The 16,585-nt window shown below is 41.4% G+C and overlaps 1 protein-coding gene across 9 annotated transcripts in view, besides 1 other annotated feature; it reads left to right on the top strand.

The window, feature by feature from the left end:
* The window catches only part of SH3YL1 (SH3 and SYLF domain containing 1), a 46,689-nt gene that overhangs the window by 15,835 nt on the left and 14,269 nt on the right, over positions 1-16,585 (top strand). For 4 of the 9 annotated variants that reach the window (NR_104225.1, NR_104223.2, NM_001159597.3 and 1 more), the window contains 3 exons: positions 1,388-1,452; positions 14,718-14,830; positions 15,761-15,889. Coding sequence is in view for 4 of the 9 variants with exons in the window: in NM_001159597.3 (NP_001153069.1) it covers positions 1,388-1,452; positions 14,718-14,830; positions 15,761-15,889 (307 nt within the window). In the remaining 5 variants the exon portion in view is untranslated. Of the gene's footprint in view, positions 1-1,387; positions 1,453-5,427; positions 5,488-6,118; positions 6,193-6,813; positions 9,448-14,717; positions 14,831-15,760; positions 15,890-16,585 lie in introns of those variants that run through there. The other 5 variants (NR_104227.1, NM_001282682.2, NM_001282687.2 and 2 more) reach the window with 3 other exon arrangements.
* Positions 10,874-11,074: a silencer, noted in NCBI's record as "peak3578 fragment used in MPRA reporter construct". NCBI's record gives its function as "represses an SCP1 promoter by STARR-seq MPRAs in K562 erythroleukemia cells {active_cell/tissue: K562}" and the evidence as "EXISTENCE:reporter gene assay evidence [ECO:0000049][PMID:32103011]".

Here is a 16,585-nt window from a genome sequence, read left to right as displayed (position 1 = left end):
ATACAATATATACATTTGTGAAATATATGGCCTTGAAATAGCAGTCAGCAGATTCACCATTTCTTACCAAGGTATCCCCGCAGTCAACAAAAACCTCTTCCTTATTATGTGGATCAGTTTTCATAGCTCAATGTGTGGCTTTGAAAATGAGAAGAAAATAATTCTCTTTTTCTCAAGCATTATCCAAATTTCCATGAGCAGACTTCTCAGCAGTAAAACCAAACAAAGTAGAGGCACATTCCAAGGGAGCCCATTGTCAGATGGGACTCAGAGTCTGTGAGAAAGTCCCTGCATGTCTCAGGTCCCCAACTGCTCCATTGATGGGGTGACTTGCTGACCAAGGGTAGGGACAGTCAATACCAAGCCCTGGGCTCCTCTCAGAGCCCCAGCAAACCTTTCTACTGGTTTTAAAACCTACATTTCTCTCCCTTCTTCCTGAGCTGCAGCTGCTGACTCTGCTGAGAGTAATTTAAAAACTGTCCAAATAAGACACAACATGTTCCCCAGGATCCTGGCCAAGACCAGCCATCTTAACACAGGGACAGTTCCTAACATAGGGAACGAAAAATTATCAGACACTAATTTCTGTAAGCCAAACTTCTCTAAGCCTGGGTAGGATAGTTCTGGATATATTTCAGCAATATTCTAGTATCTAGCATGCATGGTAGCAACCATTTTCAAAAAGTGCTTTGGCCAGACCATCCCCCCACCAAATTGAAAATACATTTTTCTAGACTTGTTTAACATGAGTTTCTATATCAAGAAAAATAAGCATATAGTAATCCTAAAATGTGCCGTATCATGGCAAATGGAATTACTGTACTTAGTTTCTAAATGTGATTTATCTTGTTAGAATTTTAATAACCTTGAATTTATAGCCTATTTATTCTGCTTAAGCACGAGAGGTGTTAAAACAGTTTTTGCCCTCAGAAATTTACAATGGAAACAATTATTATGTTACCGTTAGATAATCAACTCTCTCGAATCCTTCTGATCTCTTAAATCTGTGACAAAATTCTAGCTGAAGACTAGACCTACAGCTAAGTTGTTCTATAAAAATATTGACAGTTGAAGTTACCAAGTGCTCTGTATGGCTAATGGTTAGGGAACCAGTAGTTGGTGGTCTTATGCATGTTGGTAGAGAAAGATTAGAGGACATGGGCTTGTGAGGCTATGAGACTCATAATGAATATCTAATACTTTAAAAATATTTTTAACTTTTTAAAAATTACATATTCTTTTTGAAGATCACTTTAAAATCAGGGGAAATACCAAGTCTCATTATTTTCAATAGAAGCACTCTTTAGATTTTAGCATTTTTCCTTCCTATATTTACATGTCGAGGGTGTTTTAATGTTAGGATAACGTTCGTTTGTTTTTTTATTAGAATGGTCTGCACCCTCAGCCATTGGGATAGCTGGCCTTGGTGGAGGATTTGAAATAGGAATTGAGGTAAGTAGCTTGTGCACGTCCATACAACTGCCATATCCTCTGAAGACACCTAAGATGCAACCTGTGAAAACTGAGAGGTTTCCTAGCGTTCTTATTGTTACCATTGGCACTTAGGAAAAATTGTTTCCTTTATTTTCTCGATGAATGTCTAACTAAAGCTATCTGATGGTTCCCATTTACTTTCCTTTTCTTTCCTTAGTAGTAGGATTTCTTTCATTCGCCATTTTATCTGCTTCTGTCTCATGCACATTTGTATAACAGGCACATCCCAACACCTGGCCAGCTGTCATTGGCAGTTTATGGACTGCTCATGGCAAAGCCACTGTTCTCCTTCAGTGGGCATTGAAATTACGTGGGCAGTGCATCATCATTTGTGGCAAAATCCAGTTTTGTAACATATGATATTCAAATCCCTCCACATTCTTTAAGTAAAGAAGAACTTCACGTTATTTCAGTTTATAATGTTGCTCCTGGGATTGTGGCGTCTGTCGGGCAGACATGCACACTCACAGAGGCCTCCTACACGGGGATCCTCTTAGGGCTGATGCTCATCTTCAGTCTGTCGTTTTGCAAGGGCCTGGAAATTGAATCTCCTGGTATGCTCAACTCATTTTCTTCTCAAATTTCAGTCCATTTCTTCCTAAGCTATCCTTTGTAGATTTGCCCTGTTGACATAGTTGTAAATTCCCTCAGCCTTATTAGGAGGAAGTATTTCTAACTCTTTTTTCATCTTTATTCAATCTTTCTTACTCACTGCTGTATAAATTTGTAGTATAAAAGGAACATATTTTAGTTTTGCTTATCATGACTGCATTTTTGTACCATGTGCAACCAAATCAAAGCTTTCAAAAATATCGCCCTCTGGTGGAAAGTGCATTTTCATCAGTGATTGTGGCTTCCCTCCCCTTCCTCCTCCCTTCCCTCCCTCCCCTCTCTTCCCCTTTCCCCACCTCCACCCAGTCCCCTGGCCCTCCTTGTAGAAGGGCCTTTTTCTCTCAATAGATCATGCTGCTAAACTGTGCTAAGTCACAACCTGTTCTTCCCACAACCCTCTGGCTCCTTGTGAGGCTGGGGGCATGCTTTGAGCATTTATTTCAAAAATGATGAGAGACTCAGAAATGATGTCTGTATTAAATTTCAATATATTAGAGACCAAAAATTGAGAGTTTCCATGGTAATTCTTTGAAAATTTTGGACTTTTAGCCATAGGGCACATTAGAAGCCCTGAAAAACAAGAGCAAGTAAAATGTAGTCCCTTCATCCAGTAAATGAAATAGAAAGACTTTAAGCATTTTATAGACTGATACATAGTATTTTTTTTCTTTTTTCTCTTTTTTTTTTTGAGATGGAGTTTCACTCTTGTTACCCAGGCTGGAGTGCAATGGCATGGACTCAGCTCACTGCAACCTCCACCTCCCAGTTTCAAGCGATTCTCCTGCCTCAGCCTCCCGAGTAGCTGGGACTACAGGCGTGCACCACCACACCCAGCTAATTTTGTATTTTTAGTAGAGATGGGGTTTCACCATGTTGGTCAGGCTGGTCTGAAACTCCTGACCTCAGGTGATCCGCCCACCTCGGCCTCCTAAAGTGCTGGGATTACAGGCATGAGCCACCGTGCTGGGCCTTAGACTGATACACAGTATTATTTTATTTTTATTTTTATTTTTTTTTAGTTGTGATGATTCAATAGTTTATTGTTTTGTTAACAATTCTCAAGACTGGTGCGCTGCACAGTGGAATTGCTGTTCATATTTTTGACAAAATAAGACCATCCTGGGCCATGGGGTGACTACTTTACACATAAATAATCAATCTTCTCCTCTCAAACCAGTATTATTTTTAAAAGACAATACGAGACAGTGGTGAGCTGTAAGAGAGAAGACTGGGTCAGACCATTCTGGCTCCAATTCTGACCTGGGTGCTTCCAGTCTGTGATGTTAGGAAGTAGCTTTTCTTCTCCACACCTCAGCTTCTACATCTGCAAAACACAGTTAAAGATAGCCTTATATGAGTCTCTGGGCTTATATTGATGATTAAATATGGATTTATACAGTAAAAGCCCTTGAAATGACACAAAATATAATTTTATTTTTAATATCTTCTTCATCTTTGCAGCTTATTTAGGCTTGCCATTTACAGAAACTTTTTATTGCAAAGCCTGTCTTCATGACAGTATGGAAATTAACTATGGAATTTCATTTAAATAACATAACTATTAACTTTTAAATGTCAATTTCAAACAGAGATAAGAAGCATCTCCTAGGGATTGGAGACATGAGTTTTAAACTTCTTAACCATGATCTGACTTTGCTTCTCAGAGCCCCACAGATAAGTCTCTGCGTGTAATTGTGAGTGTGCAGTGATGTCACAGCAGTCGGCTATTTTTCAATGTTAACAGAAAGCACTGTTTGCTCTCCATGAAGCACTCTCTGATTCTGTCTGAGCCTCCATCCTAACAGAGCACTCCCGCCTGCTGTCTTAATGAGGGAGGGAGTCAGAACGGGAGCATGGGGTATCCAGAGTGGTTCCCTCAGGCTGTTCTCATCACAGCAGATCTGGTGCCCACTGAGACCACGGAGGGGCTGGAGGGTAGACACGTCCTTCCTGAAGGGACCAACCTCTGAGGGCACTTCTGACTCAGGTCACTGGCTGAGCTGAGCATCCCCTTTGGACCTGGCTTCTCTGGGAACTTGCCCCTACCATGTCCTAGCAGCCACAAATAGTAAGGACCAGCCCTCAAGTGCACTGTGAGTACCGGGAAGGCCGAGACTTTCTCAAACTTCACACCTACGTCCACAGAGACTGACGAGACACCCATGAATGCTTCCTTTTCTGTAAAATGGGACAATGACAGGACCTGTAACCACACAGGGTTTTCCTTTCAAGCACATAGATGGCACACACGTAATCGGTTAGTACTATCCAATATTTGTTGAATAATTTAACTATCTGCCTTTCTTTCTTTCTTTTTCTTTTCTTTTCTTTTCTTTCTTTCGTTCTTTCTTTCTTTTTCTTTTCTTTCTTTCTTTCTTTCTTTCTTTTGAGGCAGAGTCTTGCTCTGTCGCCCAGGCTGGAGTGCAGTGGAGCAATCTCAGCTCACTGCAACCTCTGCCTCCTGGGTTCAAGTGATTCTCCTGCCTCAGCCTCCTAAGTAGCTGGGACTACAGGCGCCCGCCACCATGCTCGGCTAATTTTTTGTATTTTTAGTAGAGATGGGGTTTCACTGTGTCAGCCAGGATAGTCTCGATCTCCTGACCTCGTGATCCGCCTGCCTCGGCCTCCCAAAGTGCTGGGATTAAAGGCGTGAGCCACCGCTCCAGGCCATTTTTTTTTTTTACAAAACTTGTACACATGCTATTATGGAATCATTTTCATAGCCATGGAAGGTGGTTGTCATCGCTCTCATTTTATCCGTAAAATAGCTAAGCCAGGAGAATTCTCCAGTAGGAGGCAGCCAGAGAGGGGCAGATTGGGAAGCGTCTGCTCCCACATCCAGGCAGCATGTTATTCGAAAGACAGAGTTCCCTGTAGTCTGTCTTGTCTGCACATCCCTCAATAGGGAAAAAAGAAAGGTTCAGGAAAGTTACTTGTTCTTGGTTTCACAGGTGCTTGGGTGGTAAAGCCCACCTCACTGTAACATTCTTCTGAATAACAAGCCACTGTTTTTAGGGCACTATACAAGGTAGGCAAAACACACATTATTTTCAATATACAGAGACATTAGTGTCTTACCTAAGATCACACAGCTAGTGTGTGGTTGTCAGATATGGTTCACTAGAAGCGGAGCCTGATACCAGTTCAAGTGCATGTGATATACTGAGCAAATGTTCTTCCGGGGAAGAAACTTAAGGTACTAAGGGAAAGAAGGGGAAAGGTCCAAGCAAGGCTGTTGCTTAAAGTTTAGTTAAACTCTTCTTCGTCCATGTTGATAGGTAGTTCAGGTTACCGACTCGAGGTCTGTTTTTTTTTTAATAGACACATTTACAGCTACATATTCCCTCTGAGCATTGCCCTGGCTGCCTTCCATAAGTGTGGGTATGTTGTGTCTTCATTTTCCTTAATCTCAAAATATTATCTAATTTCTCATGTGATTTCTTCTTTGAGCCATTTGTTATTTAAGAGTGTGTTGCTTAATGTCCACATATTTATAAATTTCCCAAATTTATCTTGTCCTTGATTTCAAATTTCATTCCATTGGGGTCAAAGAAAACATTTTGTATAATTTCAGTCCTTTTAAATGGGTTAAGGCTTCTTTTATGGCCTCAAATATAGACTTTTGTCCTGTACAATGTTCCATGTGTGCTGGAGAAGAATGTGTGTTCTGTGTTATTGGGTAAAGTGTTCTCCAGGAGTCCATTGGGTCTAGTTGGTTTACATGGTTGTTTAGTTGTTCCATATCCTTGATAATCTTATGACTAATTGTTCTCTTCATTATTAAAAGTGGGTTATTGACACATCGAGCTATTTTTGTTAAATTGTCTATGTCTTCCTTCTAGATTGTCAGTTTTTGATTCATGTATTTGGGTCTCCGATATTATGTGCTTGTATAAATATATGTGTATTACTATGTTTATAATTGTTATATCTCTTTGGTTGATTGACCATTTTATCATTATAATATGTCCCTGTTTAATCCTAATTACATTTTTTGTTGTTTGATATAAAGAGTGCCACTCCAGCTTTCTTAGGTTGCCATCTGCATGACACATCTTTCTCCATCCTTTTACTGTCAATCTAATGGTAACTTTGAATCTAAAGCGTGTCTCCTATGGAGCATATAATTGGATGTTGTTGTTGTTGTTGTTATTGTTGTTTTATCCATGCTAATAATCTCTGCCTTTTTATTTGGTTGTTTAATTCATTCACATTTAATAGATTATTGATATCATTGGATTTATATCAGCCATTTTACTTTTTTCTATATCTCATGCCGTTTTTGTCCCTCTGTTTCCACTTTACTGTTTTCAATTAAGTGAACATTTTGTACTATGGCATTTTGATTCCTTTTATGATTTTTTAACTCTATTTTTGAGTCATTTTCTTAATGGTTGTTCCAGAGCTTACAATATGTCTTAACTATTTCTAATTTATGGGAACTTGATTTAATAAGATACAAAAACATTACTCTCATATGGTTCTAGTTTTTTTTCTCCTTTTTTGTGCTATTACTGTTATACATATTAAATCTATATATGATACACACTCAGCAATTCATGATTATAGTTAATAATGTATATAATTTTATGTCTTTTAGAGAAACTCAGAGAATAATTGAGAGCAAGTATTTACTCATTGAACTTGCTATATTAACCTTTTTTATTTCCCATTTTTTGTTCTGTTCCATTGTTTCTGTTCATTCAGGTTACCATCTGGTGTCATTTCCTTACTCCAAGACAACTTTGCTCCCACCTGACTCTTTTGTACGGTTATTGTCTAGTATATAATATTTCTATAGTTACAGACTTAAAATATAGAAAAAATTTATTTTTAAACCAATTAAGAGAAAAGAGAAGAACTATGCATTTATACTATTATTTATGGTTAGATAATTATCTTTACTGGTGATTTTTTAAAGTGTGGATTTAAATTACTCTCTAGAGTCACTTGCTTTCAGCCTGAAGGACTTTGTTTAGAATTTATAATATTTCTTGTAAAATGGTTCTACTAGCAACAAATTCTCTCAACTTAAAAAAAAATTTTTAATCTGGGAATGTCTTCATATCCCCTTCATTTTTGAAATATACTTTTGCTGATTATAAGATTCTAAGTTGACCAGTTCTTTCTTTCAGCATTTTGTCATCCTACTGTTTTCTGAAGTCTACTGTTTTTGAAGAGAAATCTATCTATTATTCTAATTGGGGTTCCTTTTATGTGATGAGTCATTTTTCTCTTGCTCCTTTCCAGATTTTCTCTTGCATTTTAAGATTTTTTACAATTATCTATCCAGAGTGTTATCTTTTTACATTTATTCTACTCAGAATTTGTTGAGCTTCTTGAGTGTAGATCCATGTTTTTCATCAGATTGAGAATTTTCAGCCATTATTTCTTTGAGAAAATTTTCTGCTTCTTTCTCTTTTTCCTTGCCTTCTAGTACTTACATCACACATATGTTGGTGCACCTAATGGTGTCCCAGGTTTCTTGTGTTTCTGTCAATTTTTCTTCATTCTCTTTCTCTTAGTTTTTAAGACTTTCTATTATTCAAATTTACCAGTTCTTTATTTTGCGTGCTCAGATCTACCGTTAAACTTCTCTAGTAAATTGTTCATGTTGCTTAATGTACTTTTTACCTCCAGAATTTCCATTTGGTTCTTTTATATAATTTTATGTTTTTATCAATATTCTCTATTCAATAAGATATTCTCATTGTACGTTTTTCTACTTCTTAACCATAGTTTTCTTTAATTCTTTGAACATATTTATGACAGCTGTTTTAAAGTCTTTGTCTGCTAAATCTGATAGCTGGACCATCTGAACAGCAGTCATTCTCGTCTGCTTCCTTTTTAAATTTTTTTTCTATGTATGGGTCACACTCTCCCACTTCTTTGTCTTATTATTTTTGGTTGAGAATCAGAAATTTTAGATATTATATTGTATCAACTCTGGGTGCTCAACCTCTCCCCCTAGGAGCCTCTTATTGTTTGCTTGCTGTTTGTTTAGAGATATGGCTGGACTGTTTGAATGAATTCTGTGCCCCACTACTGTGAAGCCTCCAATGTTGTCTATGGGCATGCATATAGTTTTCCTGAGATGACAGGTGTTCTGACTGTCCCTGTCCGTGACCTGTCTGTTAAGCTGTTTGTCTCCATTGGTATTACACACTGTTGTTAGCCTCCACTAATTGCCTGCTGATTGCTCCATTGTTTCCAACAATGCCCTGGGGACATAAATTGCTCCACAGTTTGATCCAGTTAAAATTGTGCTCCTGTGCACAGGTAGTCTTTGAGGCTCATTTCTATTTCAGGAGGGCTCTTCTTAGCTATCTCTGTCCCTGGTTCTCCCTGATAATTTTCTAGACCACCAATGGTTTAGCTTGTTGCTGTCATGGAGCTAAATACCTCATCTTACCTGTTTATCACCAAAAGCATCATTTTTGACAGCACCTTTGAACTTCCCCACCCTGTGTTCCAAAAGCTTTCACTTCCCTTGGGGAGAGCTTTGGAGCTCTCTGCTCTTGCAGCCTGTCTCTCTGTCTGCCCAAGATCTCTGTGCCGTTGCTCCAGAGCTGGAGGCTGGGGCAGTGGCTCCCTTCTCTTGGAGTGACATCCCTGCAGCCTTGGGTGGTGTAGTAGCTTGGCTTGCCTCTGTCAGGGTGGAGCTTTTGCCCCACAGGTGAACTGGGGCAAGAGTGAGTGGGGTCCTGGTGCTCCTGGACTGTTGTGCTAGGCTGGAGCCTTCACTTACACATGGGTTCTGGGTGGAGGAAGGAAGCTCCAGACCTCTCAGCTGCTCTTGCCTGGAATGGAGCTTCTGTACAAGGAGCTGTGGGAAGAGAAATGCTGGCAGAAGCCTCTCCTGTGGATATACTGCAGCCCTGACCAGGGGCTGGGGGAAGGAAGTCTGTGTTCTTGCAAACCCCCTTCCCCAAGAGGAGCTTCCATCAGGCTGACCTGCAGCGGGGCACAGGTTATAGCTCAAATGTCACCAACTCTCTCTTCCTTACCAATATTTAATAGTGTTCATTGAATCAATGTGTCTTCATTTTCTTCACTTGCCATATGCCCTTAGGACAATTTCCAGAAGTGTTAATTTTTAAAATAATTTTTACCAGTTACGGTTATTTTGCTGTGGAGAGGGTCTGTGGCCTCTTTATGCCACCACTGCAGTGTCATTCTGATTTGTAGATACATTCTACAGTGGGATGGAGATTCAACTGTAATTGTTAAGTTTTAGCTCTTCTTTTGTTAGTTATAGAACAGTGAACAAAGTACTTAATCTTCCTGAATCAAATCTGTAAAATAAAAAATTTTTAAGTTGAATAAAATGGTCCTTAAATACCCCCTTTCACTTCTGATATTTGTGACTGGCAACAAAGCTTGCCTGTTCTGGGCTAAAGTTGTGGCGCATTGTTTTTTGCCTGGGTCAGTCTCAGTTTTTCTCCGGACATCTCCCGTACCTTCCACGTGGTGTATCCAGTGCTGCAAAAATGTTACATTTGCTCCAGGTTCTTCATCTGACCTTCCAAACACAGAAAGGGATTGGAGTACCACCTTCTTAATTATTTGTACTATTATTCTAGAATATCTGGGGAGATGCTAACCTATTAGTTGCAATGGATGCCTTAGGACATTCGTGCTTAATTCTCCTAGAGAATCCTGGTGGAAAAAGATTGCAGTCTTAATTGTGTGTTCATTAATGGCCTGTTCTTAAGGTCAGTTCTCTTAACTAACAAGGTCTAGTTGTGCAAAGGATGCTGCTTAACAGCCACTGCTGTCTGAGGCTGCTCCTGGATAGCTTATTGCATCGTGCTGTGGTTTCACTGGAGAGTGAATGTCAGACTCATTCTTCCAGGGGCATAAGTGTAAGTGACCCTAAGCTTAGCCAGAAGGCCGGCGTGGGGTTAATTTATGTTCGACAATCTCAACCTTTAGACTCCCAGATTCTACAGGGTGGAGAGTTCCCTGGTTCTTGGAACATCAGAGGTACTGAATAATTGTCTAAATTAGTGACTGAATACGTGTATCTGGATTAGGGATTAATTTGGGGGAGGGGGAAGTTTTTGTGGTAAAGAGAGAGAGATTAGTAAAGAGAGTTGAGATTGTGAGAAGTGAAGTCGTGAAAGTCAGTGGTCTGAGGAAAGACAATGCTACATTTGCTTTAAATACCACTAACGGTTTCTTTTTGGATGACAGTTGTAGCAAAGCCCAAAGCTCAGAAAGTCCTGCTGCTGGCTTGGCTTTGGACATGTACAGTCCTTTGCTGTGTTTCCAGAGCTAGAGCTCACACTGGGTCATCAAGCCAGAGCAGTCTGGCTTTTACTCAAGATTGGAATTTGAAAAAACAAAAACGACTGCTTTTTCCAGGGAGAATTTACATGGGCCCTTTCACTTTACTGAAGAGGAAGGTATTTGGGTTTAAGTTGAGGATAAATTATTGTTAGAGATCAGAGTCCAGTTTCTAAGCCCCCTAAGAATGGGATGTAAGGAAAAGATCTGTTGGTCTGAGGAATGGAGGGGGTGTTGTTGCTGGAAGGACGCTCCACTTAAGCTTGGTTTACATATTGAGACTGGCCATGCCACACACACACACACACACACACACACACACACACACACACACAAGGAGGGAGGAAAAGGTTTATTCCCCATGTAGTGAGGCTTTTAGGGAGATTGGGGCAGGCTCCAAGGCCAGCCCAAGAGTGGCGTGAGAGAACGGCAGGGTGGAGGAGGAAGCCCAGCTTTCTTAGCGGGTTGTCCAGATGTGGGGCTTGAAGGCTGACAGCAGTCAATCATCCAGAAGGGGGTGATGCTCTGACAGGACAACAGCCCGGGACTCAGCTGTGTGGGTGTGAAGCAGGCTGACCACACAAGAGGGAGATGGGGTGGTACCCTCTCAGCAGCTGCTTTCAGGAAATTCAGTCGCAGAGAAGAGGGACATTTCTCTCCCGCAGCTTCCCCTGCATGGCAGCTGTGGTTTTTCACATTCTAATGTTTAAGAATTTATTTAATTGAAACACTTGCATCTGAGTTATTCAGTTTTATTTTTTAATTTTTTTTTTGATTTATAGTGGACTACATATTTTCCTGGTACTTGTAATAATTTAATACATGCATACAATTTGTAAAGATCAAATCAGTCTGATTGGGGTATCTGTCACCTTAAATATTTGTCATTTCTTTAGGCTGGAAGCATTCAAGTTCTCTTCTAGCTATTTTGAAATAGTCAATAGATTATTGTGAACCATACTCACCCTACTGATCTTATAAATAAAACACAAGTCTTATTTCTTCGATCAGACTGTTATGTAGTTGAGTTTTAATGCAGACTTCTAAAGAAGTCTTATCAAATGCTTACAGGGTTTTCTGAGAGTGCCGTCCCAATGTGTTGTTCAGCTCCTCCAGATTCCTGCAGGAAATCTGTCTTGCTCCTTCTTCTAAGCTGTGGAAATAAACTGAGGGCCATTGCTGCTCACATGCTCGCCAAGCTGTCTGCAGAGCTTTTGACCTGGTTCTCGGGCTAATTGGTAGTGTCACCAAAAAACACAATATTCTCTTATTCTTATTTCAAAAGAACTAAAGAGAGATCAGACCAAAAAAAATCAAAAGACTTTGTTTTTCCTTCAGCTGCCTCTCATAGCTTGGCCTTACTTAACTGTACCACGATGTACCAAGCAGAAGCGGAACATAAGAACCAGTGTAGCTACAAGGTCATGGGTAGTACTTTGTATTTTCCGAGTGGGAAATGTGGGAAGCATTATGGAAGGCAAATTTGTTATCTAAAAATACATACAAGATACAGGTTATACAATCACTGGTGAAAATGCTTAACTTTGCATAAGAAAAGCTAAATAATTATCTGCCATTCAGCACCATAACCCTCAGAAATTGTCTATATGTAAAATAAAATGAACAGTTGGCAAGCGTCAAGCTGAAGCATCTTGTGTGGGTCAGCTCTCTGGTAGATTTAGTTTGACCTACAGATCTGAAGTGTATTTTATTTCATAAAATGATTCAAATTGAACATTATTAAGAACATACTTGCATCAGGAACTCTCTTAGGGCCTTTCAAGTATAATCTCATTTGGTTATAACAGGATTTTTCTGTCACTCATATAAAAATGTTGACTTGAGAGCATTGATTTGATTAAAAAATGTGAATAACTGTATAATGAAGGCATATTTTAAGCACGAGTCTGCTTGACCTTTGCATGTTTTATTGAACTGATTTCAATTCATCCGTAAACAGCCTTGAATGTGTGCCACTATTATTACACCCATTTTCCAGAGAAGGAAATTGCAGCTTTCAGCAGCTCAGTGATTTGCCCAAGGTCGCACAGCATGCAAAAGGGAGTAATGGAGTTCCCACCTAACTATTTTTAATTTTGAGCCCAAATTCTTAGCCCCATGCCAGCACTGTTTCAACTTCCCAGGTACACTTGACGCCTATATCTGATTCTCACAGTAGTTCCATGAGGTGTAGGTCCTAGTAAGCAAATTTTAAACACAGAACAGTCAGAGACACAAAGACTGGTTAAAAGACCCCAAAGTCCACAGCTCTCGAGAAGCGGAGCTGGGATGGACATTGGTTCTTCACACCCAGGGGTGCCCTGGCCCATGCTGCCTCCCCTGGCCCATGCTGCTGCCTCCCCTGGCCCATGCTGCTGCCTCCCCTGACCCATGCTGCTGCCTCCCCTGGCCCGTGCTGCTGCCTCCCCTGGCCCATGCTGCCTCCCCTGGCCCATGCTGCTGCCTCCCCTGGCCCATGCTGCTGCCTCCCCTGACCCATGCTGCCTCCCCTGGCCCATGCTGCCTCCCCTGGCCCATGCTGCTGCCTCCCCTGACCCATGCTGCCTCCCCTGGCCCATGCTGCCTCCCCTGGCCCATGCTGCCTCCCCTGACCCATGCTGCTGCCTCCCCTGACCCATGCTGCTGCCTCCCCTGGCCCGTGCTGCTGCCTCCCCTGGCCCATGCTGCCTCCCCTGACCCATGCTGCTGCCTCCCCTGACCCATGCTGCTGCCTCCCCTGGCCCGTGCTGCTGCCTCCCCTGGCCCATGCTGCCTCCCCTGGCCCATGCTGCCTCCCCTGGCCCATGCTGCCTCCCCTGACCCATGCTGCTGCCTCCCCTGACCCATGCTGCTGCCTCCCCTGACCCATGCTGCCTCCCCTGGCCCATGCTGCTGCCTCCCCTGGCCCATGCTGCCTCCCCTGGCCCGTGCTGCTGCCTCCCCTGGCCCATGCTGCTGCCTCCCCTGACCCATGCTGCCTCCCCTGGCCCATGCTGCCTCCCCTGGCCCGTGCTGCTGCCTCCCCTGGCCCATGCTGTTGCCTCCCCTGGCCCATGCTGCCTCCCCTGACCCATGCTGCCTCCCCTGGCCCATGCTGCCTCCCCTGGCCCGTGCTGCTGCCTCCCCTGGCCCATGCTGTTGCCTCCCCTGGCCCATGCTGCCTCCCCTGACCCATGCTGCCTCCCCTGGCCCATGCTGCCTCCCCTGGCCCATGCTGCTGCCTCCCCTGGCCCATGCTGCCTCCCCTGACCCATGCTGCCTCTCATTTGATGGGTCATATTATTTTTCAGTTCTAACTTTGGACTTCCACATTGCAGTGATTAATTTGAGTAACAAATGCTTTCACTGTGTTGACCTGCCTTGAGCATTCAGTTGAATCTCATTGTAGTTTCTTCTTTTATTTAGAGAAAAATTAAGTCAGCTGGGCTCAGTGGCTCACGCCTGTAATCCAGCACTTTGGGAGGCCGAGGTGGGTGGATCACCTGAGGTCAGGAGTTCAAAACTAGCCTGGCCAACATGGCGAAACCCCATCTCTACTAAAAATACAAAAAATTAGCCGGACATGGTGACGTGCCTGTAATCCCAGCTACTCAGGAGGCTGAGACAGGAGAATCACTTGAACCCGGGAGGCGGAGGTTGCAGTGAGCTCAGATCACGCCACTGCACTCCAGCCTAGGCAACAAGAGTGAAACTCTTTCTCAAGGAAAAAAAAAGAAAAATTAAGTCATGGAAATAGGCATTCCTAATGGAAACTGCTTTGCTTTCTGGTGTGTTGAGCTTCTGTGACCTATAGTGAAGTGGCCCAGGTTCACAGCTTCCTGGTAAGGAGCACACCCCTGGCCAGGAGGAGAGTGTAGAAAGGCTCTCAGGACCTTCAGCACCATCGTCCCTGGTGCTGTGCTCTTCGGGCTTGGCTTTTACAAAGTTTAGTCTGATGAGATCAGAGAGCATGTTGGATCCCTTCCAACAACCTTTGTTTGACTTGTTAGCACTGACGGTTTACCTAACCCCACTAAACCTTAGGATCACCACCTACATGACCAGGTTGTGTGGAAGATTGAAGGACATGATGCAGGTAAACCTCATAGTATACACATGGTGCACAGTAAATGCTCGCTGAGGTTTGTTGTAATTACCTGTGGCAATATTGGCTTCATAATTCATCAGCTCAAAATAAAAATATGGCTCTTGTCTCACGTTCTTTCCTGTCTCTATTGATGTTTTGCTACAGTGCATATGGTGTAGTTGAGTGTTAGTCAAGATGAATTTTAAATGATATTTAGTCTTAACGATTTTTAAATCCATGGGTTTCTACACTTTAGGTATCAGACTTGGTGATAATTCTGAATTATGACCGTGCTGTAGAAGCTTTTGCAAAAGGCGGAAATCTGACCCTCGGAGGGAACTTGACTGTGGCGGTTGGGCCCTTGGGAAGGTGAGTTCTTTAAATAGATGTTAGACAGTAAAGGTTTAACAACTGCATATTTTATTTTGCATTAATAGGAAACTTGAATTAAAATGAACAGATTTGTACATCCCCAGATTTATACATGCCCGAAAGATTTGAGGTCATCACAAATAGGAAATTCACAAAACACAGCCAGTGAGATAAGCTAGAAAATCTGAAACCAGAACACACAAGAAATAATGAAATGTTTTGGAAGCATAGGCCATTGTATCTGTCAGACTTGAACATAAAATCCACCTTAAGCTTTGAGAGAGCCAAACACAAGTCAGATTTTATGATAAAGTTAAGCTTCGATTAGGAAAGAAAGAGCTTTTTTCAAAGTAAATCATAAAAATTGGATATGGATGTGTTTTTTTTGAGCCGTGTTTACAGTACTTAAAGTGTATTTTTCTTCTCTATTAATGAAATGCTAGTCTTGGATTAATTGTGCAATGTAGAGATATTTTATACCCACACTATTTATAGAAGTTACACAGTAAAATCATCTAAAAATGTTTCTTGGTTCCATGAAAATACTCAATGCAAAAATAATCCAAATTCTTTAGCACTCTTGAGATGTATTTCCCAGTTTTAAGAGAGGAAGATCCGGTTGGAAAATGTCAGATTTACAAATTTTTAAAATATATTTACACATGCTGCACTGTATTCTTTTTCAACACAGTTCTATGTTACCAGAGCCTTCTGTAATAATTTCATGTATGTTCTTCCCCCGGCCTGTTTTTCCTCTAGGCCACATTAAAACATCTAATTTAGGCCTACAGTAAGTAAAACATAGAAACAGCTGAAGAAGGTACAGAACAAAATAATTCATTTGAGCTAGAAGGAGTGCTATTTAAATAGTGATCCTCGGCTTGGAGCTGCTCACAGCTTTGTGATGCAAAATCTTGTGCTTTGCAGGAACTTGGAAGGAAACGTGGCCCTGAGAAGCTCCGCTGCCGTCTTCACGTACTGCAAGTCAAGGGGACTCTTTGCAGGCGTGTCTTTAGAAGGGAGCTGTTTGATTGAAAGGAAAGAAACTAATAGAAAGTCAGTTCAAGTTAAAGTGATTTTAATTGAAAGTGTGATGAGAAAATAGTACTTCAAAAGTTGATATAATTTGCAGAGTACATTTATATATTCTTTTTACAACATGTGGTTTTAAGTGTGTATCTTACATTTAAAAATTAAATATACAAATAATATATGCTCGTAGAAAATGCAGAAGACACATGAAAAAGAAATAAAAAAAACTCGATCCCTTTAAAAGACTAACACAATTCACATTTTGCTTTACTGCCTTCCAACATTTTCCTAAGCATAATTTTTTTTGTTTTGCCATATATGATGATAATCACCATATATATTCAGTTGTAAATGCTGTTTTTTCCACTTCGCATTTTAAGATAGCTGGAAACCATCATTCTCAGCAAACTATCACAAGGACAGAAAACCAAACACCACATGTTCTCATTCACAGGTGGGAATTGAACAATGAGAACACTTGGACACAGGGAGGGGAACATCACACACTGGGGCCTTTCAGGGGGTTGGGGGCTGGGGGAAGGATAATATTAGGAGAAATACCTAATGTAGATGACGAGTTGATGGGTGCAGCACACCAACATGGCATATGTATACCTATGCAACAAACCTGCACATTGTGCACATGTACCCCAGAACTTAAAGTATATTAAAAAAAAAAGAAACTTAAACATAAGTTAGTAATACTCTTAGTTGGATGCA

Source organism: Homo sapiens, chromosome 2 (assembly GCF_000001405.40).
Source record: "Homo sapiens chromosome 2, GRCh38.p14 Primary Assembly".
Classification (NCBI taxonomy): Eukaryota; Metazoa; Chordata; class Mammalia; order Primates; family Hominidae; genus Homo; species Homo sapiens.
This window is presented reverse-complemented; position numbering and strand designations above follow the sequence as displayed.